This window comes from Homo sapiens, chromosome 1, assembly GCF_000001405.40.
Source record: "Homo sapiens chromosome 1, GRCh38.p14 Primary Assembly".
NCBI lineage: Eukaryota > Metazoa > Chordata > Mammalia > Primates > Hominidae > Homo > Homo sapiens.
The window spans coordinates 237,184,418-237,211,625 of record NC_000001.11 but is presented as its reverse complement, the minus strand read 5'-3'; the positions used below and the strand labels follow the sequence as shown (position 1 = coordinate 237,211,625).

The 27,208-nt window shown below is 40.4% G+C and overlaps 1 protein-coding gene across 18 annotated transcripts in view; it reads right to left on the bottom strand.

The window, feature by feature from the left end:
* RYR2 (ryanodine receptor 2) overlaps nucleotides 1-27,208 on the bottom strand; it is a 791,805-nt gene that overhangs the window by 622,363 nt on the left and 142,234 nt on the right. The gene's annotated exons all lie outside the window — the stretch shown is intronic.

Genomic DNA, 27,208 nt, shown 5'->3' with positions numbered 1-27,208 from the left:
ATTTCCTTCTGGAAAGTAGATGATTCAGTGGTTTGTTTTAAAAATTGGTGCAATGGTAGGAAATGTCCTAGACTAAATAGAGGAAAAGCTCTGTTCTCATCCCAGCTGTACCACGTACTAGCTGGGAAAACTCCAGCAAGCCTGTCTATCTAAACCTTCATTTCCTCACCTGAAAGAATATTAACTCTGAAAAAAATCAGAAGATTGTTCAGAGTACAAATGCAAAATTATCATGCTAACAAAGATATCTTGTAAAGAGCATAACAAATGCCTACACATCTTAGCCTCTGTACCATCACTGCAGAGCACATTGATAACTTGTACACATATAGTCAAATCTAAATACTGGCACAGTCTATGACAAGCTTCCTGAGTCAGTGCCATGGAATGGGGCTGTACTTGAAAAGAGCCACGGTGAGCTTTGTACTCTGTGATGCTGTCAAACATGTAAGGTTTAAAGTTTCTGTGCCCTATCTCACCAAAGATAAAATGCATCCGCGTCCGTGTCACCATATAGTAATGCCATCCAATAACCTAAGCGGTATCCAGGGCACAGGCTGAGATTGAACATGGTACTGAATTAGGCCACTATCCCAGCAGCCCAAACATCGTCCCTGACAAATCTGTGTGAGACGTCTCTGCGGCAGTGACAGCTAACTCGCTAAGCTCCATTTGCCATCCCACATTTTCCAACAGAAATATCCATGACAACACATAAAAGCTTCAAAGGTAAACCAGCTGAAGATGTAAAATACCAATTAAGTAGGTATCAATCCCTGAGGAATCACCCTGAACTTTGGCCTGGATGGTCCTAGTGCTGCCTTCCCTAGGAATCTAAGCCTACCTGTGGTCCCCGGTGCCTGCTTTCCAAGATAGTGGGATAAGTTCCCACCCCCACAACACACAGCACCCAGCCAGCATCAGAGCTTCTTTGCAGAGATTGTCACAAGACCAACACACGGCACCCAGTGATGCAAACTATGAGAAAAAACAAAGACCAGGGAGTCTATGGGCCTTGGGTTATAGGACCAGCATATAATGGAATGGCAGAGACAGAAAAAACAGGAGCATCCCCTCACAAGAGAAGCAAGAGAAAACCCTGACTCAGTCCAACATCCACCCCAGAGCCATGCATGAGAGATACAAGAAATGAGACATCCAAAATTGGCCAGGGATTGCTATATTAATTTGACCTCCAGATCCAAGGAGAGATTTCAGGAGTACTCAAGAAAAAAAACAGACCTTTGTTAAAGACAGGCTCTTTTTATTCAAAAATGGATACATGGGGTAAAATAGCATCTAAGACAAGGAGACAAGATTCTCTAATATGAAATAGTCCCAAAATTATCGGAAGAGAAATGTACTATAACTGAATTAGAATTCAGCCATGTTAAAAATTTTTTTAAAAAAGAGTTTATTGATATAAAAATGCTAATGATATAAAAAGTTTAAAAATACATTTATTACATGAGCAGGATGATTCCAAATTTATTTTTAAAAATAAAAGAACAATATATGCAGATACACAGAAAAATGAATGGAATAAAATATGTGAAATATCAACAGCAATTTATCTCTGGGTGGCATAATTGCAAGTAGCTTTTATTTTCTTCTGTCTGTATTGTTGTGTTCTCCAAATTTTCTACATGTTATATTTCTCATTAAAAATATCACAAAGATTTAAAACATAGAAAGAGATGCACAACCTCTCTAAAATCCTGAACATGTATTAGGGCTGTCACACTTGGCTCTCTGGCTTTTTCTTTTTTTGAGACAAGATCTTGCTCTGTCACCTAGGCTGGAGTGCAGTGGCACAATCATAGGTCACTACAGCCTCAAATACCCAGGCTCAAGTGATCCTCCCAACTCAGCCTCCCAAGTAGCTGAAACTATAGGCATGCATCACCACACCTGGCTAATTTTTAAAAAATTTTTTGTAGAGACAGGGTCTGGCTATATTGCCCAGCCTGGTCTCCAACTCCTGAACTCAAGTGATCCGCCTGCCTCAGCCTCCCAATGTGCTGGGATTACAGGCAGAAGCCACTGTGCCCAGCCCTCTCTGGCATTTTCAAATCACTTGGACTCACACTTCCCAAAGAAAAAAAAAAAATACACACACACACACACATATATGCAGATTTTACACTGTACCATAACTATAGTATCAGAATAAGGCTTTAATATATGTAAATAAGACATATATATCTATATGTCATATGCAATTTGTAAAGACCTGTTATATCATTTATCTGTTAATGGATAAATGGATAGAGCAAATGTGATGTAGCTAGATACAGATATATCTAAATATATGTATATTTTATGCTTTTATTTTCAAAACTGAATTTGGAATCATCTTGTTCATATAATGCATGTCTTTTTTAAACTTTATATATCATTAGCACTTCTATATGCATAAACTCTTTCTAAAATATTTTTCATATGGCTGAATCATAGTTCAATTACAGTACATTTATATATATAAATATGTATCCTGTTACACATATATAATCATTATGTGTGCTGTAACACATGTATACCTATATTTTTATATATAAGTGTTACATACATATGTTATATTAATATTAAACTTTTTAAAAAATTTTCACATGGCTGAATCATAGTTCAATTACAGTATACATATATATATATATATATATATATATATATATATATATATATATATATACACACACACATTTGGTTGTACAGATGAGAGAGAGTAGTAGGGTAGTTACCAGGGGTCATAGCGAGGGGAAATACAAAGATGTTGGTCAAAGGGTATAAACTTAAAGTTATAAAACAAATAAGTTCTGGAGACCTAATGTACAGTAGGGTGGGTCCCTGTAGTTAATAACACTGTATTGGACACTTGAAATTTGCTAAGAGAGTAGAACTGACGTGTTTCCATCACACACACAGAAAAAAGGTAACTCTGTGAGGTCATAAATACGTTCATTAGCTTGGTTTTGGTCGTCATTTCACAATGTACGTGTATATCAAAACATCACATTGTATACGTTGAATATATATAATTTTTGACAATTATGCCACCATAAAGCAGAAATAAAACTTTTAAGATGATGACATTTTGAAAATCAGGTCCATCCAACCAAATGTTACATAAGACATCCCAAGAAGCATATACTGCTCAGCACTTCTAGTTCAACAGCTATATTACTCAAGCATTCTTCAAAGGAAATCACATGGAACATCTTATTTTATGTAATGTAGACTATAGAATGCTTCAGCAGAGGAAAACACACACATAAACCCACACAGAAGGCAATCACTCAGCAGCCCACATTAGCCTGATGTCTTGAACACTCAAAATCATCCCTATTGTCAAGAAATCCTAGAATCAGCAAACTCCATGAGGATAGCACCTGTTTTTGTCTCTGGCTCAATGGTTACCAGCGATAACTTCAAAATGATCAGCTATGCAACATATATCTTAATTCATTCAGACGAAAACAATTACAAAATGCATGCATATGGTGTGCCGGTGCTGGCTGCAACAGAGCAAACGTGCCCTTGTGTATGAACTATTACCACAACTCCCGCTGGTCAACCAACATCAGTTCATCCTGGGAGGTACAGTGGGTGAAAGCTGTGTGGGCCTCACCTGGAACAAATCTGAATCCTTATACTCTTTTCAGCACCTAATACTCTCCAGCTAGTTTCAAAGACCCCACCTAAGGTGAAAAACAAGAAAAGATTAATATGCTCTCAGGTTGATACAAACGTAATTGCAGTTTTTACAATTAAAAGTAATTGCAAAAACCACAGTTACGTTTGCACCAACCTAATACTATTGTTTTGCAGTTATGTGCCAGGCTGAAAAGGATGAAAATTGTTTTAGAGGATAGCTATTCTACTAGTGGTGTCTCAGTCCATTTTGCTAAAATAAAATACCTGAGACAGGGTAATTTATATAGAACAGAAATTTATTTTTTCACAGCTCTGGAGGCTGGGAATTCCAAGATCAAGGAGCCGGCATCCGGTGAGGGCTTCTTACTGCATGGTCTCAAGGCAGAAGGGCAAAAGAAGATGAAGGCTGCATGAAGCCTCCTGCTCTGTCGCCCAGGCTGGAGTGTGATGGCATGATCTCAGCTCACTGCAACCTCCGCCTCCTCGGTTCAAGCAATTCTCCTGCCTCAGCCTCCTAAGTAACTGGGATTACAGGTGCCCACCACCATGCCCAGCTAATTTTTGTATTTTTAATAGAGACAGGGTTTCACCACATTGGCCAGGCTGGTCTCAAACTCCTGCCCTCAAGTGATCCATCCACCTCCACCTCTCAAAGTGCTGGGATTATAGGCGTGAGCCGCCGTGCCTGGCCATGAAGACTTTTTTTTAAAGGCCTTCATCCCATTCATAAGGCAGGAGCTCTCATCACCTAATTACCTCTTAAAGGCCCTACCTCTTAATACTATCGCATTGGCAACCCCTGAATTATTTTTTAATTTTTTTTTTTTTTTGGTAGAGACAGGTTTTCACTGTTGTCCAGGCTGGTCTCAAACTCCTGGGCTCAAGAGATCTGGCCTCCCAATGTGCTGGGATTACGGGCATGAAACACTGCACCCAGCCAAGCATCACCTGAATTTTAGAGGAAACACATTCAAACCACAGCAAGTGAATAAATAGATTTTGTTCTATAGCCCGTTATGAATATTTTGAAAGGACAGTTCTCATAGGAATTTAGGTAAACTAACCTAAAATATTCCACAAAAACTACTTTTCCTGTAACAGCTGGTCCCATGGAACTCATTATCAGTAGTCTTTTCAATGTTAGGCTTCTTCCATAAAAATGCAATGGCCGGGATAGTGTCCAATAGTAGATTGGTGAATGCCCGAATGAGGATTTTCTGAATAAACAAACTAATTTGCAGTATTCAATAGCCACAGAATGGACACAAACTAAATAGTTCACAATAGGGAATTAAGTTCATAAATTAAAGCATATCTACATGACACAATATTATTTAACATTTAAATTATGAGATAAATATAATAGTATGACACAATGCCAAGTGTATCTGTAAACATATAAATAAGTCTTTTAGTATTATATGTATAGGGATGTAATTTGACACAAATGCAAATAGAAGTACTTGAATTATTATGGAGAAACAAGTGTGAAAAACTTTCTTTTTTACATCCAACAATCTTTATTGGTAAAACAGTATCTTACACTCCTAACGCTATCTATCCAACTTCACTAAGAACAATTTCAGTTTCAATTAATAAATGGTACCTAAAGTAACAAGAGATAAAAGTGTTTTCGAGGGAGCAGCTCAGGCTCATGTTCGGCCGAGTTTCAGGGTATTCAGGACCTGGCTGCAGGGAAAATGGAATCAAACAGGTAGATGCTCTGGACCCAAGCCCTCAGGTGATGACTCACCTCCCTCCTGGGGGTCCTAGTGGCTCACGGTCCCCCTGGTACTTCCAGGCCCTGCAGACTGTGGCTGGAGCCCTAGGAGCCAAAGCACTGTCCAGAAAGGCTGGAACTTGGCCTCCCAGTGAGCCGGCTTCTGCCTCTTGAAGTCATATTCTTCCCGGAGCTCCTGGAGCACCCGCTTGGTGGACCCGGTGGCCATCCACACTTCCTGAGCCATTTCCTCGTGGAAGAGGATCTCCCGCTGGAACTTCTCCAATTTCTAGACCAGGTCTTGTGCAATCTTCTTGAGCCAGTCGCGGGTCTGACTCACGGCTTCCAGTTGTCCTGCATCTTGCCAAGCCTCCGGTCCAGGTCCAGACAGTAGGCGTCCTCCTCCATGCACTCCTGCTGAGGCCCCATCACGGCTCTCTGCCCAGTGCAGGAAGAGTGGGGGCCTCAGCTGCAGCTGCAGGACCTCCGTCTCCAGCCGTGCCCTTGCCCCCTGCAGAGAGGCCTGCTCCCTGAGCACAGATTGGATTTGGGCTCTCACTTTTTAACTCCTTTGGATTTCTTTGGAGTAAAGAAATTGTTTCTTCTGGGGCAATCCAGGACTGGCCTCAGGCATAGGTGATGTGAGGCCACCACCAGCCTGGGTGCCAGCCCCATCCTGCCTCTGACCTTTCTGTGGCCCTCACCCTGGACCAAATTCTGCTGGGCCAGCTCTTCCCTCCTTCTGATTGCACATAGTCTCTTGGCCACAAACGCCACCATGGCACTGCAGGCTCGGATCCCCCATGGCATCCATATGTTTGCAAGCACCTGTCCCAGGATGCTGTAAACAGCTTGTACGGCTGCCCACAGCTGGACCAGCAGCTGCTGAGAGAGCATTTCGTGGCAGGCAGCAAGCCCTCCATGGCTCCCAAGGGCTCTACAGCTCTGCCTCCCCTTGCCAGTCACCTGTGGGCCACAACTCAGCACTCGGAACCCTGTGGTGTATTCCAACCCTGTCACAAACAAGGGCCCACCAACCAGCGTAGCCCATTTGCTAGGCTTGGGGGAGAGGGTGCAGCCTGTGTTCTAGAAAACCATGTCCTTGATTTTGCTGTGCAAATAGAGGCTAACGTTACTTATGCAGTGCCTTGGGGGAGCTCATGTCAGCCCCTAGCTCAGGCCACTCCAGGCCCCACCTGGCCCTACTGCACAGCTAGCCGGTCAAAGCAGGACCATGCCACAGCCCTGTGTCCTCTCAGGGCAGTGGGGAGGCCCGTCCCTGCTGAGGCTCATTACCCTGATTTAGTTTCCTTCTGCTGTAGGGAAGCCTGGTCCTGCCTGCAAAGAATCTGCCTCCCTTGCTGGATTGAGCTCCTTGAAGAAGGGACTCTGTTTTCTCCATCACCACATCCCTACAGCTCACCAATGCCCAGCATATGCCAGGGGCTCAGTCGTTGACTGTCTGGTTTTCTTGTTGAATCTCCTCTGACTTAGGACATGTCATTTGCCCCTCCTGACCTCCATATTCAGATCTGTACATAAGAGTAAGTAGGTAAAGACTCCTCTAGCTTTAAAACCCCGCCAATATAAAGTGAAGTCTGAAACCAGAACCAGAGCTAAGGAATGCGGAATGGAGCATTTTCCCAGGCGTGATGGATGAGAGCTACTGACATGGCTGTTAGGGTGGGACCCCGTCACCTGAATGCATTTGCAGGATTCGACCCTAGTTTTCTTTCTTTTTTTTTTTTTTTGTTTTTGTTTTTGTTTTGGTAACAAGAACATTCATAACAGCTTTATTCATGACAGTCAAAAAACAACAACAACAGTATCAGCAATAGGAAAATAAATTCTAGTATATTCAAAAATAGAACACTACTCAACAATAAAGGGACAGAGGATATGGGAATCAAAAGTAGAGGGATAACTACTGATATAACAAAGACATGGGCCAGGCGTGGTGGCTCACGCCTGTAATCCCAGCACTTTGGGAAGCCAAGGCGGGTGGATCACCTGAGGTTAGGTGTTCGAGATCAGCCTGACCAACATGGTAAACCCTGTCTCTACAAAAAATACAAAATTAGCCAGGCGTGGTGGCACACATCTGTAGTCCCAGCTACTCGGGAGGCTGAGGCAGGAGAATCACTTGAACCCAGGAGGAGAAGGTTGCAGTGCGTCATGATTGCGCCACTGTACTCCAGCCTGGGCAACAGAGCAAGACTCCATCTCAAAAACAAAACAAAACAATGACATGAATGGGTTCTCAGAAATAGTAACTTCAATGAAAGAAGCCAGACACAAACGAGCCCACACTGTATTATTTCATTTATGTGAAGTCGAAGAACAAGGAAAACTAATCTATGGTGAGAGGAATCTGAACAGTGTAGTCCATGGAGGTGGAGACTGCACGGAATAGGGCAAGAGGAAACGTTCTAGGAGGATGGAGATATTCTTGATTAGGAGCTTGGTAACATGTGTGTATACATTTCTCAAAAATCATCAAATTGTCCATTTAATATATGTATATTTTCCTTTGTGTAAATTTTCCCTCAATAAAAAAAAAATTTTTACTACAGTTTTAATGAAGCTTAGAAAGTAAATGAAATTCAATGAATAAATTCAAACCACCTATTTACCTGGAGGTCAAGTTTTTGCTAACTTTTTACCATTGTAAGTAACACTGCTATGAATATCCATTGGGGCAAATAATTGTATAGATTATTGGTTAAATTCCCAAAGTAGAATTTTATTTATTAAAGATTTCATTTAGTTTGACTTTTGAGACATATTGTAAAACTTTCTTCCCAAAATAATGATCCAATATATACTCTTACCTACAATGTATGAAAATACTCATTTCCTCTACTTAGCCAACATCAGATATTGTCATTTTATAAACATTTAAGAATAATATACACTAAACAGCAATAATAACAACAATTTCTAAAACTCACACAATTACTATACCCTAGGAACTATTCTAAGTAACCTACCTGTATTAACACCCATTTAATACACAAAACAACCTGATAACATGTGACCCTAGTTTTCAAATCAGACTCAAGAATGATCTTTAGTGTTGGTGGGTGGGTGGGGTGTGTGTGGTGGTGGTGATGGTGGTTTTTTCACAACAGCTTCTGGAAATCTTTTTCACAGGGAGTATGGAGGCTTCTTTGTCCAAACTGGGTGGGTTCAGGCTCCATCCGCTTAGAAGCTGCTGTCTGGGCCACAGCATGTCTGGGCCTCTGCCTCCCCTGCCTCCAAGAATGGCAAACAGGTTATCTTTTCAAGAAAATGTTATTATGTTACTTTAGAAAGTTGTTTCTATGGTGACTATGTTGTTTGGAAGGGCTGAGCATTCACAATGTTGCGTTGCTGGTTCCAATTGTCCTTTCCCTCCTTTCCATCCCTTCCACCACACAGCAAAGAGATCAGAGCCCAGAGGAAACGGCTGAGGAAGAAGCATGCTCAGAAGATGCAGATGCCATCTTCAGAATGCTGGAACGAAAACTGTTCAGAACAAGATTTCCATTAAAAAGGTGTTGTTAAAGGACGGACCCGGTGGCTCACACCTGTAATCCCAGCACTTTGGAAGGCCGATGTGGGTTGATCACTTGAGGCCAGGAGTTCAAGACCAGCCTAGCCAACATAGCAAAACCACGTCTCTACTAAAATTATAAAAATTAGCTGGGTGCAGTGATGCATGCCTGTAATCCCAGCTACTCAAGAGGCTGAGGCAGGAGACTCAATTGAAGCCAGGAGGTGGAGGTTGCAGTGAGCTGAGATAGTGCCACTGCACTCCAGCCTAGGCAACAGAGCGAGACCCTGACTGAAAAAAAAAATGTTGTTTAAAGGAAAGTACAGGTATAATTTGTAAAAGACATGCACTGAGGGAAATTGAGATTTTGCTAAGTGACCATCAAATCTATTCCCAATGTTCAAGTGCTCAGACTCAAAAAGAGGTAGAAAAAGAGACTGCAATAAGAAATGAATGACAAAGAAATGGGAGACTATCATCAGACACAAAAATATATTCATAGGCATATCAGGCACACATGCCTACCTTGAGGGAAATGTTAATGCAAATTGTATAAGTAAATATCATATTTTAATGGTGTTAGGATAAAACTACTTTTTTGTGTACAATAAAATTCATAGTAACAAATAGCATCTTTTGAATCCTACATTAAGGTTTCTGTCTACCCCAGCCCTATTTCTCCCATTTCTCTACGAACATTTTATCTTGCACTCATATTTATCTAGAGCTGCCTTTCTCTTCTCTGAGGAAATCCATCCAAATTGAGATAGGCCTTTGTTGATTCATCTGGCAAGTAATTCAGTGTATCAGTAGATATGATAAAATAACTCAGATAGAACCAAATGGTGCCTATCAAACAAATCCTGAATATACGTCACCTTCCAGTCCATCTCCAACAGATAATGGGAGCCCACAATGGGACTGTCATCAGCCTTCCCGACAAGAGTCCAATGCCAGAGTCATCAGAGAGCCACAGGAGGAGTGAGGCCTCAGCAGCCCTGGGAGCCCCTCATCCAGTGAAAATTCCACCCAGAAAGTGGTGTCTTTTTTTCAACCTCAGTAATGATGATAATGACGATGATAAAAGGAGGTGGGGAGGATGCTAATGCCAGTTTGTGTAATGGGCTTCCCTAAATTACTCTAAGCACTGAAACTAGGGGCCAATAATTAATTTCATATCTAATACATCAAGTTTTTAGAAGAAAAGCATCCTACCCATGTCTGCCTGCAATTTCCCTGGAATGGCCAGAAAAACACAAATGAGATTTCACAGCAAGACTCACAAAGCTATTTCAGTCTGGACTCACACGTGTGCATCTCATCTGATGTTACAAATCAACATATCTGTCCAGAACTATTAGGGAAAAACAAAAGCAGATAGCCGTCGAGATCAAGTTCTTCCAGTAAAACAAGACCTTGAATAATAGTGAGGGCAGTGCCAGGACCTCAATGTGACACTAATAGACTTTAGAAGTTAACAGGTATCAGGTGACGTTGATTTCTTCATTCAGTTACTGAGGAAGCTAATGACAGACACAGGTCAAACATGTCTTGGTCTAGTCATTGTCAATTCTTGGCTAAATGAGGCTTATTTTAAAATCAGAACTCAAGAAAAGGATACTTTGATGTTTCTTATCATTACCCTTACTGTCTTTCCAAAACTGTCATCCTGTGCCATAGGCACAGCAGAAGGAATAGAAGTAATGAGATTTGGGAACCCTACATTGATTACTCTTATGTGACTGACACACTGATGGAGTCAGTTTCCTGAATGATTGATATCCCAGCTCCATCACTATACTGGATGAGACTCCTAAGCAAACAACTGAGAGAATCACAACTAAAGTAGATAGTCACAGAACACATAACTTTAGCAATCGATGGAAAATTTGAGGTTCCTTTAAACCAAATTCAAAGAAATATGCACTCAAAATTATACTACAGTTATAGAAAACGTACTATGCTGTTTTCTGTGGTTTCTGTCTCTTATTTGGCCAGAGAAGAAAGAGGGGTATCAACCCAAAGTATCAATTTGCTCACCATTATTAAAAATATGCCCGAGAATGGCAAAAGTAATCCCCCCAGAATCTGCAGTTTTCCTACTTATTTTCTGATTCGTATCTACTTTTACTTCATTCATTAAAGAATGGAATGGGGCCAGGTGCAGTGGCTCACGCCTATAATCCCAGCACGTTGGAGGGCCAAGGTGGGCAGATCACTTGAGACCAGGAGTTCAAGACCAGCCTGGCAAATATGGTGCAACACCGTCTCTACTAAAAATACAAAAGTTAGCCAGGCATGGTGGTGGGCGCCTGTAATCCCAGCTACTCGGGAGGCTGAGGCAGGAGAATCACTTGAACCTGGGAGGCGGAGGCTGCAGTGAATGAAGATCATGCTCACTGCACTCCAACCCGGGCAACAGAGTGAGACTCTACCTAAAAAAAAAAAGAATGGAATGGTTGGGGCAGTTAAAGGATAAAATTGCAAACAGATGGTAAACAATAAAACTGAGGCTATTAAAAATAAAGAGGCAGCATAGCCTGGTGAAGGTAGACTGGCAGAATTCAAATCCTAGCTCCTCCACATATTGGGTATGTGATTTTGGGTAAATTACTTAACCTGTCTGGTTTCCTTATGTTTAAAAGAGTGATGATAGTAACAGACCTATCTCATACAGTTCCTAAGACAGGTGACATGAGCTATCACTTGTAAAGAACTTAGTACAGGTATACAGCAAGTACTACAGAAATATTATAATAAACAAAACTCGGCTAATTAACGAACATTTCTGATGTAAATTCAAATTGGCACAATTTGGAATTTATTTAATATCAGTGTAGATAACATATCATTTAATTTTTAGTAGAAAACATTAATATTCAGGCTTTTCCATGCATATGAGATGATGTTTTCAGATATAAAATTAGTTTTCATAGATCCACAGTTGAAAGAATCCTGAGAATTTATGCAACCATATGCTGTTTTATATTGCTGATTTTTCACCAATGAATGTGTGATGGTTAGTATTGAGTGTCAACTTGATAGGACTGAAGGATGCAAAGTATTGTTGCTCCTGGGTGTGCCTATGAGGGTGCTGGCAAAGAAGATTAACACTGAGTCAGTGGACTGGGAGAGGCCGACCCATCCTCAATCCGGGTGGGCACCAGCTAATAAGCTGCCAGCACAGCCAGAATAAAAGCAGGCAGAAAAAGGCTGAAAGACAAGACTTGCTGAGTCTCCTGGCCCCCATCTTTCTCCCGTGCTGGATGCTTCCTGCCCTCAAACATCAGACTCCAAGTTCTTCAGCTTTGGGACTCTTGGATTTACACCAGTGCTTTGCCAGGGGCTCTTGGGCCTTCGGCCACAGACTGAAGGCTGCACTGCTGGCTTCACTACTTTTGAGGCTTTGGGACTTGGACGGGCTTCCTTGTTCCTCAGCTTGCAGATGGCCTATTGTGGGACCTCACCTTGTGATCGTATGAGTCAGCACTCGTTACTAAATTCCCCTTCATATATACATCTATCCTGTTAGTTCTGTCCCTACAGAGAACTCTGACTAATACAGAATGTCGCACCTCTATCCTGATAGCAAAATTTCCTTGAAGGCAAAAACCATATCTCACTTTTGTTTCACACACTCTGCAGGACCCCGGCAAGGAACCACCTTTGAAGTTTGCATTTATCAAATTGATCATAACCGGATTAACCAGACAATAATTTTCATGGCATTGACCTGAATTTAATTAAGTTTGTTAAATTCTTGGTGCAAATGAAGAAAACCTAACCAAAGTGGTTAGCCTATAATTTTTCAAGTTGTTGAAAATCTTTCTTAATTCACGCATGGACTATTACTTCTCCAGAAAATAAAAAAAAAAAAGATAAGAAAATATATATGTCTAAAACCTTTTTCTTCCACAGTGATTTTCTGAATCCTTTGCAAGTTTTCCAAGGCCCTAAAAATTGTGGATTTCAAAATAAAGTCTAGATCCTCATTAGATTCTGACCTTTGCTGAATCCAATGGGAAGATTATTTATTTACCACTTACTATAGTCTCTCTAAGAGCAGTCAAGTTCATGCCAAATTGCCAGGAATAAATAATTCCCCAGGCTGAAAATCTATTTCTTCACATTTTTCAACATTTCTCAGAGTGAAAAACTATTTGAGGAAACAAAGATTTTCTCCTTTAGCATTTCTCCTAAATGCTAAAGAGGTACAAACTAGCATACGATAAGGAATTCAAAGGAAAATACTTCCATACCAAAAAAAAAAAAAAAAAAATCAAGGAAACACTATATTCAAACATACTTAAAAAGATTACTAAAAATCTAATCGCTATAAAATGCAAGGATTTTATAACACCGCACACCACAATTCATGAAAATGACGCATAGTTCAGATAGCAATACATTTGTATAACTGCTCAACACTTTAGTAGACTCAACACATAAACTAAATAGTCCTGCAGTAATAAAACTGTATTTATCACAGCTGAGAACAAGTGGTTCATTTCATTTTCAGGCAGTCTGACCAGAACTGACTCATCTACAGTGCTTTCTGGAAACCATTCTATCAAAAACTCCAAAGTGCATGGCCATAACCCGGACTGGGCCATTCTCTCTGAAATGTTCTACTTGAATTTCCCCCCATCTGATCCTAATCTTCTTCCGTCTTTCCCACTGCCTCATTAGCAAAAATATGTCCATGTGTATCAGACCTGTTCCTGTTCCATTTCCTTCCTTAAGCAGCACATCCTGCCAACCTATGATTGACCAAATCAGCTGCTTTTTCAAACCAGTTCCCTCAGTAGTTCCCTCCCCTGTGCTACAACCAGCTTGCAAACTCACATCCTTAGATCAATCCAACTACCTGAATTCCTATGTTCTGCCCACAAACTCCAGCTATGGAGCAGGACTGCTAAGACTCTACCAACAGCTGCTATTAAAAATGTAATTTTAAGTACACTGTAGCTGTTCACTACCTCTATTCATTTTGCTTCCTATTCCCTCCACTGCAGTTCAGACATTCACCACTTCTTCAAGCACCCTATGCAATCCCTTCCACCCTCATTCCTACAGGATGACATCACTTCGGATCTCATCAACTATGATATGCTCCTATTATCACACCCACGTAAGTGCATCTTTCAGTAATTTGCTTAATTAATCATATTGGTTCCTTTTCCTCATTGTGATAAAAACTGTTAGGTCTTTTTCATCTGGAAAAGTCTTTGCCTCAATATCTGAATATTACATGATTACATAATTAAGAAATATACAATTAAGATATTAAGACACAGAAAATTAAGTTCGGTGAAAGTAGAAAAGTACTTAATAAAATTTACACCAATTTATGAAAACTCAGTAAATTGAGATGAATGGGAATTTAACTTGATACAGTGTATTGAAATCCTATAGCAAATATCATAGTTAATGCCTGCTTTTTACCACTTCTGTTGAACCCTGTGCTGAAGGTATGAGCTAGTGCAATGAAACGACAATAAAAAAGGTATGAGGATTACAAAAGACATTATTCACAGACAATATGATTGGCTATGGAATCTTTCGGTAAATTATCTGAATGACAATTCAGCAAGGTAGCTAAATATAAGACCAGTATATTTTTAAAAATCACTTTACTTAATATATTTCAGGAACAAACAGAACATATATGTTTTTAAAGATTCCATTCACAACAGCAAGAAAAAAATGACACACTTAAGAATATAAATAGCAAAAGATGCATAAGAATTTTTTAATATAATTATAAAACTTTATCAGTTACTTTAAACAGGAACAAAATAAATGTAGAGCTATACCATGTTTATGGATAGAAAGGCTCGATATTATAAAGTTATGAACTGCTCCCAAATTGATACATAAATTCAATGCCATTCCAATTAAAATACTGACTGTGTATCTTACAGACTTTGACAAGCTGATTCTTAAGTTTGTGTCAAAATGCAAAGTGCCCGGAATAGTTAGGAACATCTTAAAAATGAAAGCAAGGTAGAGTACTTCTCATCAAGACTTATTGTAAAGCCATAGTTATTAAAATAATGTGATACTGGCCCAGACTTGCAAAGATCAAATGAGATCCATAAGTGTAGGACAATTTGATATATGTCAGAGCTGACATATAAAATAATCAGGTTAAAAATGAACAACAATAAATCACTATCAATATGGAAAAAATGAAGCTAACTCCCCAAATAAATTCTAAGTGGAGTCAATAAGCAATTATGAAAAGTAAAACCTAGAAAATTTTCAAAGACATAGAAGAAAAATTTTAAATTAGAGATTGTCATTTTAATATCTAGCTAGCTATTAGAATTTTGTGGAGAAGTGAATAAGATAATGCAAATGAAAACACTTTGAAAAGCACAAGGTATACCATAAAACATAGAAGGCAATTTTATTATTATAGAGCCAGACAAGTATGTTTCCATGTTCTACCCAAGTTATCCGACTCCAAAATTTTTTTAAATTTTGTCTCAATATATTTATTGTAGTTAAAAATGCTTCTGAAGATAATTTGTTACTAGAACATGAAAAGCCTACCAAAAGGACACTTCCTAGACCACAATATACTCAGTTGTTTCTTAAGCTGCCATTAACTTGACATTTGTAATTAATGATTTCTTATAAAAAGCAAAGCACTGCTACGATGTCCTTAAAAGGTCGCATGAATTTCTTTCAGGAACTCTTCAATACCCAAATGTTTTACAACATGCCGGACAAGACATGCTAAGATCATTGGCTATTTTAACACTGAAATTATAAAGCACCTTTCTCATATAATTGTTTTTGTCATTAATATTCACAATTCAACAATAATAAGCAATGTTAACGTCGGTTGAGTGCTCATTACTTCCCGGGTAATTTCTTAAGCCCTATACATATATTCTCATTTATTCCTCATTTCTGCACAATGAAGTGGGCAGTATTACCTCCTTTTACTGATGAGGAAACAGGTCAAAAGGGGACAAATAGCTAACCCAAGGGTATACAATGACCAGACTAGAGCCTATGCCAATTTGATGCCAAATATGATACTTGTTAACCACTAATCCACACTCCTTCAATATATGCATACATATGTGCTAAAGGCAAATAGAGAACACTTCCTAATGAATGTATAGAAAAGATTGAAGGAGGCCTGGTGTGGTGGCTCAGGCGTGGTGGCTCACACCTGTAATCCCAGCACTTTGGGAGGCCAAGGTGGGTGGATCACCTGAGGTCAGGAGTTTGAGACCAGCCTGACAAACATGGAGAAACCCCGTCTCTACTAAACATACAAAATTAGCCAGGCATGGTGATACACACCTGTAATCCCAGCTACTCAGGAGGCTGAGGCAGGAGAATCACTTGAACGTGGGAGGCGGATGTTGTGGTGAACCGAGATCACATCATTGCACTCCAGTTTGGGCAACACGAGCGACTGGTTATTGCTAAGTGCCGAGATATTGGGTCATTTAATTTTCACTTTAAATTAAATACTTTCAGAATTGAAGTTTATTTTTCTGCATTTTCTGTATTTTCTGTATTTTACATTTTATAAAATGTATACAATGAGCACGTTCAACTTTTCTAGTAAAAGTAAACATTAGGAAAATTATAAGAAAATATGTTTATGATCATGAATTCAGTAATAAAAGACCTAAAAGAGTTTGGAAAAATCCTAACATACCTATTCACAGGTCAGTGAATAAACATTTAGTGATGCCCTAATAGGTGCCAGGCACTGTGTGAGCCACTTGTACACACATCATCCTATTCTTAAGATTCCTCACTTTACCTATGAAGAAACTGCGGTTCAGGTAATTCCTACAGAAAGCAAAATTCTAGCCCAGGTTTCCTCCCACTATTCTTCAGCCACCTTTCTAGATGCCAAGGAAAGATTCAATTGAAGACAGCATGATGTTTGGAAACTTACAGCTAAAACCTCTTCAAACTCCTGGCTTTTCTTGGCAGCCTCAAGGAGAAGCAAAGATGCTTTGTCATCTTTCTCTCCCACAAGAACACTTCTGACAGCCCTGCTCACTCGCTCTCCCCTACTTCAGTACAGGAGTATGGACCCGCCTCTGGGTCAGGGTCAGAGTCTACATTGGTGGGCAGTGTCTATATTGGTGGTCAGTATTGATTTCCTTAACTCTGTCACCCCAGCACCTGCCTTTCTAGTGCTCTGGGCCCTCCCGATCCCTTCCTGTCTCGGCCACCTGCCCTGGATTCTGCCCCTTGTTCTCCTGGACTTGCCACCACTGCTCAATATTCCCAGGCCTACCTCTCCCACACGGGAATCTCAGAGGCTGCACTATGAGCTCCTTGCCGCTGTTTCTCACTCATGTATAGTACGGTGGGTCCAACAAAGGGGTTATAAATAATGAATTCATTAATATTCTTGACTTTGTGCCTGATAGAACTGCGACAGCCAAAAAATCTCTTTTCTTCTCTAGATTTCTAATCCGGGTCTCTCCAAGCCAGCCCTGAATGTCCAGGATAAGAAAAGGAAATCAGTAGAAGCCAAGGAACTCAAAATTCATAGAGTTCCTTGCTGTACTCTGCCAGCAACTATGTCAAGGTCAAGAAAAGAAGAAATGAAATGCATTTATGCAAAGGAAATATTTAGAATGCAGGGAAAAGACATTTATTTCCAAGCAAAATTCCTTTCCAAGTGCTCTAATCAATGGCAAATACTCAAAGACATCAAAAGGATTCTGTTTCTTCAAAGTTTAGAAGAAAAAAGGAAAACTTCAAGATAGAATGAAAAGTTATGAGAATGTTTGACGCAAGAGAAAGGCAATCTTTTCTTCATAAGAGATTTTTTATTAAACTATTAGAAATGCAGTGAGGAAAAAAAGTGACAGAGATGTAACAAATACATTCTTCTGGAATCTGGTCAAAGTCTTGCTATCAATATTTTTGTTTTATAGTTTTATATCATATTTGTGCTTCTTTGTGAGGATCATCAGTTTTGACATCAGTGGAAATATGCAACTCGTTTCCAGAGTTTTTGGAAAATAAGAAATGTGAGTTACATAAAAAAGAAATCCAAATACATCTGCAATTTAAAACAGCTTCTTCCCCCTCACCCCTTCAAAAAAAAGCAGTATTCAATGCTTAGTGCTGAGGGGAGTAGAAGTACTGATTTGTGACATGCAATGAACTCCCTCAGGATTCCACATTTTAATCACTGAACATCACCATTGTGACAAGTTAGAAGGAGTCACTCAAAAGCATTCAAGATATTTTTGTTTGTTTTTTAGATGGAGTCCCACTCTGTTGCCCAGGCTGGAGTGCAGTGGCGCGATCTCTGCTCACTGCAAGCTCCACCTCCCGGGTTCACGCCTGCCTCAGCCTCCCGAGTAGCTGGGACTACAGGCTCCCGCCACCATGCCTGGCTAATATTTTTTGTATTTTTAGTAGAGACGGGGTTTCACCATGTTAGCCACGATAGTCTCGATCTCCTGACCTCGTGATCCACCCACCTCGGCCTCCCAAAGTGCTGTGATTACAGACTTGAGCCACCGCACCCGGCCTTCTTTTTTTTTTTTTGTACTTTTAGCAGAGACGGAGGTTTCACCATGTTAGCCAGGATGGTCTTGATCTCCTGACCTCGTGATCCGCCCACCTCGGCCTCCCAAAATGCTGGGATTACAGGCATGAGCCACCACGCCTGGCCGCATTCAAGATATTTTTTAAAGGCAGAGAAAGGTAATTTTTAGAGAAACTCCAAACAGGTGTTACCTTGCCCACGGATTTGGGATTCGGAAGGATACTGAAAAACACATCTGCTTTATCTGTGTCATTAGGTTTGGATTCTAAATAACATCAAATAATTTAACTATATATATTATCTAGAATACTATCACAGATCATACATATTGATGAGTATTTACTGCTATTAATTGAAGAAGCACATTTAAATGAAGTAAAATAAAAATCAAAACAACTGGCTCTTAGTAAGCTATACTTAAGTTACGTATCTCTGTTCTAAACCCCTTAGCGGAAAATAAATGCCCTCTACCTTCCTTTCTGGAATTTTAAGATGATTAATGTCTCCCATAATCTTTTGACTCCTGTGTAAAGGCAATGCCTTAAGGCTAATTAATTGGCCTACTAGTAGAATGTGTGGTTTCTATTAAGTGAGATCACAGAATTTGGAATTACTAATAAATTTATTATATGCTATCTAAAATGGTTTTGTTGGCTAGGCGCTGTGGCTCATGCCTGTAATCCCGGCACTTCGGGAGGCCGAGGCCGGTGGATCACCTGAAGTCAGGAGTTTGAGACCAGCCTGGCCAACATGGTGAAACCCCGTCTATACTAAAAATACAAAAAAAAAATTAGCCGGGCGTGGTGGGCGAGTGCCTGTAATCCCAGCTACTCAGGAGGCTGAGGCAGGAGAATCGCTTGAACCCAGGAGGCGGAGGTTGCAGTGAACCAAGATCACACCATTGCACTCCAGCCTGGGTGACAGAGCGAGACTCTGTCTCAAAACAATAAATAAAATTTTGAAAAAATAAGAAAATGTTTTTTTTTTTTTTCTGGAGAAAGCAGAGGCCGCAGTATTGTGATGCATGGGTTGAAGTCTTGGCTCTGTCCCTGTGGGCTATCAGGCCTCAAACAAATCACCTGACTTCTCTAAGCTCAGTATCTTCATACTGAATATTTTCCAAAAACTCCTGTTCTGCCTACTTCACCTACTTCACAGCAGGTGATAAGACCATGGAAGGAATTCAAAAAGGTATCACTGTTGTTAATTAGGGACTTAGATATACAAAACCCACTTATTCTCACTTAAGCCTCATTACTGACCCAAAAATGTAGCAAATATTATTTGGCAAGTAACAACAGCAACAAAAACAGAGAGCTCCTATCTGACTTCTTCCTCTGGCAAAAATTTCCATTAGTCATTTGCTATCTTAAATTGTTAATTGAGGGTTTTTCACATAAAACCGGTATTTCTCAGCAAGAATAAGAAATAATCACTGTTTAGATCATTAAATGAAGTCAAAAGTTGTTAAAATATTCTTTTCATCATTTCGAGCTGGAGACAATTTGTTCACAGACTGCACTGCACGGTTTGATTGTGCCGTTCTTTTATCCAGCCTCAATCGGAACACGCACTTGGCAACGCAAGCCCCTCCGCAGCAAAAGAAGTGTTTTCTATCCAACAGCTCACATTTCTTGCTCAGCCTGGTAAACAGCTTCTTCCCGATAAAATCTAAGACAGTCAAGACTCAATGCAATTCCTATCAAAATTTCAATGATATTCTTTGTAGAAAAAGGAAAAAAAAAAAACCCATAAAATTCAAATGCAATCTCAAGGAACCCCAAATAGCCAAAAAATATTGAAAAAGAGCAAAGCTGAGGCCTCATACTCCCTGATTTCAAAACATACTACAAAATGACAGTAATCAGACAGTGTGGTAGTGGCACAGAAACTTATATAGGCCGATGGAACAGAATAGAGAGCCTGGAAATAAACCCTTGCATATATGGCCAATGACTTTTGACAAGGGTACCAAGACTACAAAATGGGGAAAGGACAGTCTCTTCAACAAAATGGTGCTGGGAAAACTGGATATCCACAAACAAAATAATGAAATTGGACCCACACCTTATACCATATACAAAAATTAATTCAAAATGGATTAAAGACCTAAACTAACACATGAAACTATAAAACTCCTAGAAGAAAACAGGGGGAAAGCTTCCAGACAATGGGTTTGGCAATGATTTCTTGGATACGACACCAAAAGCGTAGGCCACAAAAACAAAAATAAACTGGGACTACATCAAACTTAAAAACCCTCTGCAAATCAAAGGAAACAGTCAACAGAGTAAAAACGCAGCTTACAGAATGGGGGAAAATATTTGCAAATCTTATATAGTCATCCCTCGGCATCTTCAGAGGACTGGTTCCAGAACCAATGGATACTAGAATCAGTGGATGCCCAAGTCCCTGATATCAAATGGTGTCATATTCACATGCAGCCTATGCACATTCTCCTGTATACTTTAAATCATTTCTAGATTACTTATAATACCTAATACCATGTGACTGTTATATAAATAGTTGTTAGGCAGTATTTTTTATTTGTATTTTTTATTGTTGTGTCGTTATTTGTATTGGTTTTTTTCCCAAATAGTTTCAATCTGCAGTTAATTGAATCCAAAGATAAGGAACACACAGAGAGACAACTGTATCTGATAAGGAATTAATACCCAGAATAAGAAACTTCTGCAACTCAGCAACAACCAAAAAACCCTGATTTTGAAATGGGCAAAGGACTTGATAGACAATACTCCAAAGAATATATACAAATGGCCAAGAAGCATACAAAAAGACGCTCAATACCTCAATAAGAGAAATGCAAATCAAAATCACAATATCACCTGACACCCATTAGGATGGCCACTATCAACAGAAAGGAAAATAGCAAGTGTTGGCAAGGCTGCAGAGAAATCAGAACACTACGCACTGTTGGTGGAAATGTAAAATGGTGCAGCCATTATAGAAAACAGTATGGCTGGGCACGGTGGCTCAAGCCTGTTATCCCAGCACTTTGGGAGGCCAAAGCAGGCAGATCATCAGAGGTCAGGAGTTCAAGACTAGCCTGGCCAACAAGGTGAAACCCTGTCTATACTAAAAAAAATAAAAATAAAAAATAAATAAATTAGCTGGGCGTGGTGGTAGGTGCCTATAATCTCAGCTACTTGGGAGGCTGAGGCAGGAAAATCACTTGAACCCAGGAGGCAGAGGTTGCAGTGAGCTAAGATCACGCCACTGCACTCCAGCCTGGGTGACAAAGTGAAACTCTGTCTCAAAAAAAAAAATAAAAATAAAAATAAAACAGTATGGAATTTTCTCAAAAATTAAAATAGAACTACCATACAATCTAGCAATCCCATTTTTACGTTGTCTTAGTTTGTGCTGCTATAAAAAGGTGTTATAGACTGGGCGGCTTACACACAACACACATTTATTTTTCACAATTAGAGACCTCACTGTGCCAGAATGGACAAAGATCAGGGTGCCAGAATGGTCAATTTCTGTTGGAGGCCCTCTTCCAGGTGGCAGACTGCCACCTTTACGTTGTGTCTTCACATGGCAGAAAGACAGCATGCTAGCTCTCTGGCCTTTTCTTATAAGAACACTATATCCCATTCATGAGCACCTCACCCTCATGACCTAGTCTCCTCCCAAATGCCCTGCTTCCAAATACCATTACATCAGGGCTTGGAATTCGCCATGTGAATTTTGTGGGGACATATTCCATCCACGACATGGGTATCTATATCCAAAAGACATATACAAGATGCAGAATCTCAAAGAGATAATTTGCACACCTGTGTTCACTGCAGCATGATTCACAATAGCTAAAAGGTGGAAGCAGCCCACATGTCCATTAACAGACGAACAGATAAAGAAACTGTCATGTATACAGATAAATATATACACAACGTGACATTATGAAGCCTTAAAAGAAGGAAATTCTATGGCATGCCACACCATAGATGAAGCTCAGGAATATCATGCTAAGGGAAACAAGCCAGTCACAAGAGGGCAAATGCTGTATTATTCCACTCACATCAAGTATCTGAAGTAATCAAAATCACAGAAACAAAGTAGAAAGGTGGTTGTCAAGGGCTGGGAGGAGGACGGGGGAGGAAGGGAAAATTAGTATTAAATGGGTACAGAATTTCAGTTTTGCAAGATGAAAAAGTCCTGGAGATTGATTGCATAGCAATGTGGATACGGTTAACACTTTTAAATTATATGCCTGAGGATGGCTAAGATGGGAAATTTAATGTTTTATGTTTTTATCACAATAAAAAACAAGAAGACAAAATAAAAATGCTGTAAAATATTAAGGCAGTCCGCATCGAGTCTACAAAATAATGCTGCAACCCTAGACTCCCTAGATCAAGTCATCTAAGAATCCATGTTGGTGAAACCCCATTTCTACTAAAAATACAAAAATTAGCCTAGTGTGGTGGTGGGCACCTGTAATCCCAGCTACTCGGGAGGCTGAGACAGGAGAATCGCTTGAACCTGGGAGGTAGAGGTTGCAGTGAGCCGAGATCGTGCCACTGCACTCCAGCCTGGGCAACAAAGAGTGAAACTCCATCTCAAAAAGAAAAAGAAAAAAAAAGAATCCATGTTAAATAACCTAATGATAACTGCCAGGCACTGAGCTCAGAGGTTTACATGTATTATCTCATTTAATCATCCAAATTGTTAGATCAGAATTATTATCCCCATTTTCTATAAAATAGTAAGGTTTGGTGCAGTCACATCCTGAGGTCACGCCCCAAGCCTGTGCTGCAAAGGGTCAAACTGCTAACTGCAAGACATAATGCCTTCTCTGATTAAACAGTCATCTACACCAGACAACAAAACCCACAACAGATGCTGTCTTTTCCTAATTAACCAAGAATGAATAGGTGAAAAAAAAAAGCAATGCTGAACTTTAAAGAAACAACTGAATTGAGGCACACGATGCTAGAAAACCACCTTAGGAGAAATACATTTACAGCTGTAACATACTAATTCGCCAACCTGCCAGAGCAAAATTACCTTCCTTCACCTAAAACAGCATTCAATGAGGCCAGATCTATTTCAGTTTTTCAAACTAGCTGCTCAAGGCCTGGGGATGATGACAATTCTGCTGGCTGAGTCATGCCGCTTTAGTGATCTGGGCAAGGAGAGGAGTAAGTTAAAGTATGAAGAGGGAAGATCATTGAGAAGTATGCACAATGTCACAAACAGCAAAGAGATTTAAGATTTTTTGCAGGCAATACAACTAAAAAGCAAATTGTAACCTAAAAATTCAAATCCAAGAAATCCCTGCTCTAAAAGGTGTACTTAGGTTCTTAAAATAATCTCAAATAATCTCTGGACACAGAAGATTGTGATTCTGCCATCTGCTTTCTGTCCAGAACAGTTTCATGATTTACAACTCTATGTGGGCCAGGCTCAGTGGCTCATGCCTGTAATACCAACACTTTGGGGAGGCTGAGGTGGGAGGATTACTTGAGCCCAGGAGGTCAATACCAGCCTGGGTAACATAGTGAGACACCGTATCTACAAAGAATTAAAAAATTAGCTGGGTGTGATGGTGCATGCCTGCAGTCCCAGCTATTCAGGAGGCTGAGGTGGGAGGATTGCTTGAGCCTGGGAGGCTGAGGCTGTAGTGAGCTGTGACCATGCCACTGCACTTCAGCCTGAGTGACAGAGTGAGACTTGTCTCAAAAAAAAAAAAAAAAAAAGTCGGCCGGGCGTGTTGGCTCACGCCTGTAATTCCAGCACTTTGGGAGGCCGAGGCAGGCAGATCACAAGGTCAGGAGATCGAGACAACCATCCTGGCCAACATGGTAAAACCCCATCTCTACTAGAGACCTGTAATCTCAGCTACTCAGGAGGCTGACACAGGAGAATCACTTGAACCCAGGAAGCAGAGGTCGCAGTGAGCTGAGATCACGCCACTGCACTCCAGCCTGAGCGACAGAGTGAGACCCCACCTCAAAAAAAAAAAAAAAGTCTATGTGACATTCTTGCCACTATACTTTTACTACAAGGCTAATCTGAATTTGGAAGGTAGGGGTGCCAACTGTCCCATTGATTCACTTTCTAAACTCAACACAGCCACCTCTATCTTTGACTTTCAGAGTTCGCAAAAAGCTGACCTCCCTTCCACAAGTTCCCTTCACTTGTCAGGGCAAGTCCCAGAGCCGCTCTCAGGCATGTGTCTCCTCCTCAAAAAGCCGCAGTGGAAGGAGCTCAAGGCCGGCAGAGCAAGGCTCTCTGGAGGCTGCTCAATGCGGGCTGCAGCCTCCGCAGCCTATCAGCTCTGCAGCTATTTGACACAAATATATCCAGATGCTGAAAATTTACTGCAGGCTTCAGCTATGCCACAGCCACAAGGAGATGCGAATAATTATGTTTTGAAGGCTTTTCTCTCTGTTTTCAACAGTCAATCAAGATGATGGGATTTCTGGGGACATGAGGGAAATGTCAGCCTGTGCTTTTCGGCACAGTGATGGGGACTCTTATGCAAGTGGGTCTTGTTCTGCTTCTGCTGATCCATTAGAAGGAACGCCCAGAATCCTCAGCCAGAATAAATCTTTCAATCTTGGGAATCAAAGTTGAAAAAACACAAATGTAAACCAAAGCATCTGGCCTAAAATTAGGGATCATTGATACCATAAAAGTTAAAAATTCAAGCCATTTCAATACACAGCTCCAGGTGTTCAATTGAGTCCAGTTAAACAGACACTAAGATGTCCCTGCATTAGACTGACAGTGGAATGCGGATTTCTCATTATTGTACTAAGGCTCTTGCAGGACCTTAGTACGATACTTGTTTTTACATACAGAATGGCATGTTATAAAAGAGGCAAACATAACCATCACGCCTGTGTTAAAATAGTGCTAAATGCACTGTCTGTACTAACAGGGAGCTTTGCCACAGGGAGTAATTATGTCTGGGAAAGGAACACAGAAAAAGAGAAAGAGAGAGAGAAAAACATTTTTCTAATTCACAGCTGTAAAGCCCTGCAAGGCAATATCCCATCTTCACGGATCAGGATGTGGCATTTACCTACAAGAGGGCTTTAGGTTTCAAGGGAAAAATCAGCTCCCAGGTTGTAGACCCATGAGAGCCTGCAGGGACAACCCTCAGACTCCTGAAACTGAAGAAAGCAGGGGCCTAAGACCTAGGGATAGATTTGTGTCAGTGCAATCCTGACAATAAAATCCTCCAGCCAGGCACCTAAGGAAACAGGTGCTATACTCAGTGAAGACTGTGTGGCAGAAGTGTCCAGGAGCTATGTTGCTGTTTAACCTTGGTGTACAAAAACAGCAAAGGAAGAGCCAAAAGGTTTATGCTTGCTTGGCCTTCACTCACTTTGGACTCACTTGTTGTCTATACCTCTAAAAGTCTAACGGCCCCAGAGAGATAATAGCCTTGAGAATTTCCACAGCACTGATCAATGCCATTTGCTTTACCCTGAGAATGCACAACCACACACCATCACTTCTTGTCCCAACCAGACCAGGAGGTTATGAGGAAGGGAATCTTATCCTCTGTGTGTGTGTATCCCCACTGCACATAAGTACCCAAAGGTTTGTTATTTGACTGACACAGGAGCACCGAGAGAGAGTCAGAGATGCTTCTTTTGAATCCAAGGGCTGCCAATCTAATGACCAGGAGTGAAGGTGCTAGAAATAGAGAATGTGAGAGGCAAAGTAGCACGTGCAGGAAAGATAATGAGTTCTGTTTTAGATATATGGAGCACAAAATTTAACTAAAGCCAATATTGAAAAATATGCCAAGATCTAAATATGTTACAATTATGTTAACACTGCCTGTAAAATAGTGCTGCTCAGGAAGTTTTGGTATAAAGGGCCTCTATGTAGCCGGGTGTGGTGGCTCATGCCCGTAACAGCAATTTGGGAGGCCAAGGTAGGAGGATTGCTTGAGTCCAGGAGTTCAAGACCAGCCTGGGCAACATAGTGAGACTGTATCTCTACAAAAAATAAAAAATTAGCCAGGCGTGGTGACGTACGCCTGTAGTACCAACTATTTGGGGGGCCGAGGTGGGAGAACTGCTTGAGTCCAGGAGTTCAAGACCAGTCTGGGAAACACAGTAGATCCTACCTCTACAAAAAATAAGATTAGCCAGGTGTGGTGGTGCATGCCTGCAGTCCCAGCTGTTCGGAAGGCTGAGGCAGGAGGATTGCTTGAGCCTGAGAGTTTGAGGCTGCTGTGAGCTGTGATCATGCCACTGCACTCAGCCTTGGCAACAGAGCAAGACCCTGTCCAAAAAAAAAAAACCCTCTTCACAAAGAACTAAGATAACCTTCAACTCAACTAAAGACAAAACTGACATCACTTTCAGCAAGACCATAGTAAGTTCTGTATACTTTTAATTAAAAAAATTTAAAACCTAATAAATTTATGCTAGAAAAATATAAGCATTATCATCTGATAAATATTAATGTATGAACACAAAGCTGTGGACCTCCTAGACCGTTCATAAGTCCACCATTGTACCTCAAATGGTACTTCAGTATAGCTAAAGTCCATCGTTATCTAATTTTAAATAAAAGTAGACTATGTATTATTTTTGTCAAAGACTATTTACTCTGCCAAAACCTTGCAAGTCATGCAACTGTGCCTATTATTTAACAGAAAATGAGTTACGTAAGTCTCTGAAAAATACACTCTTGATAACATTAAGCTTTAATAAAGGTTATTTATGGCTCCCGAAAAGTAGTTCTTCTCTTGTCAATT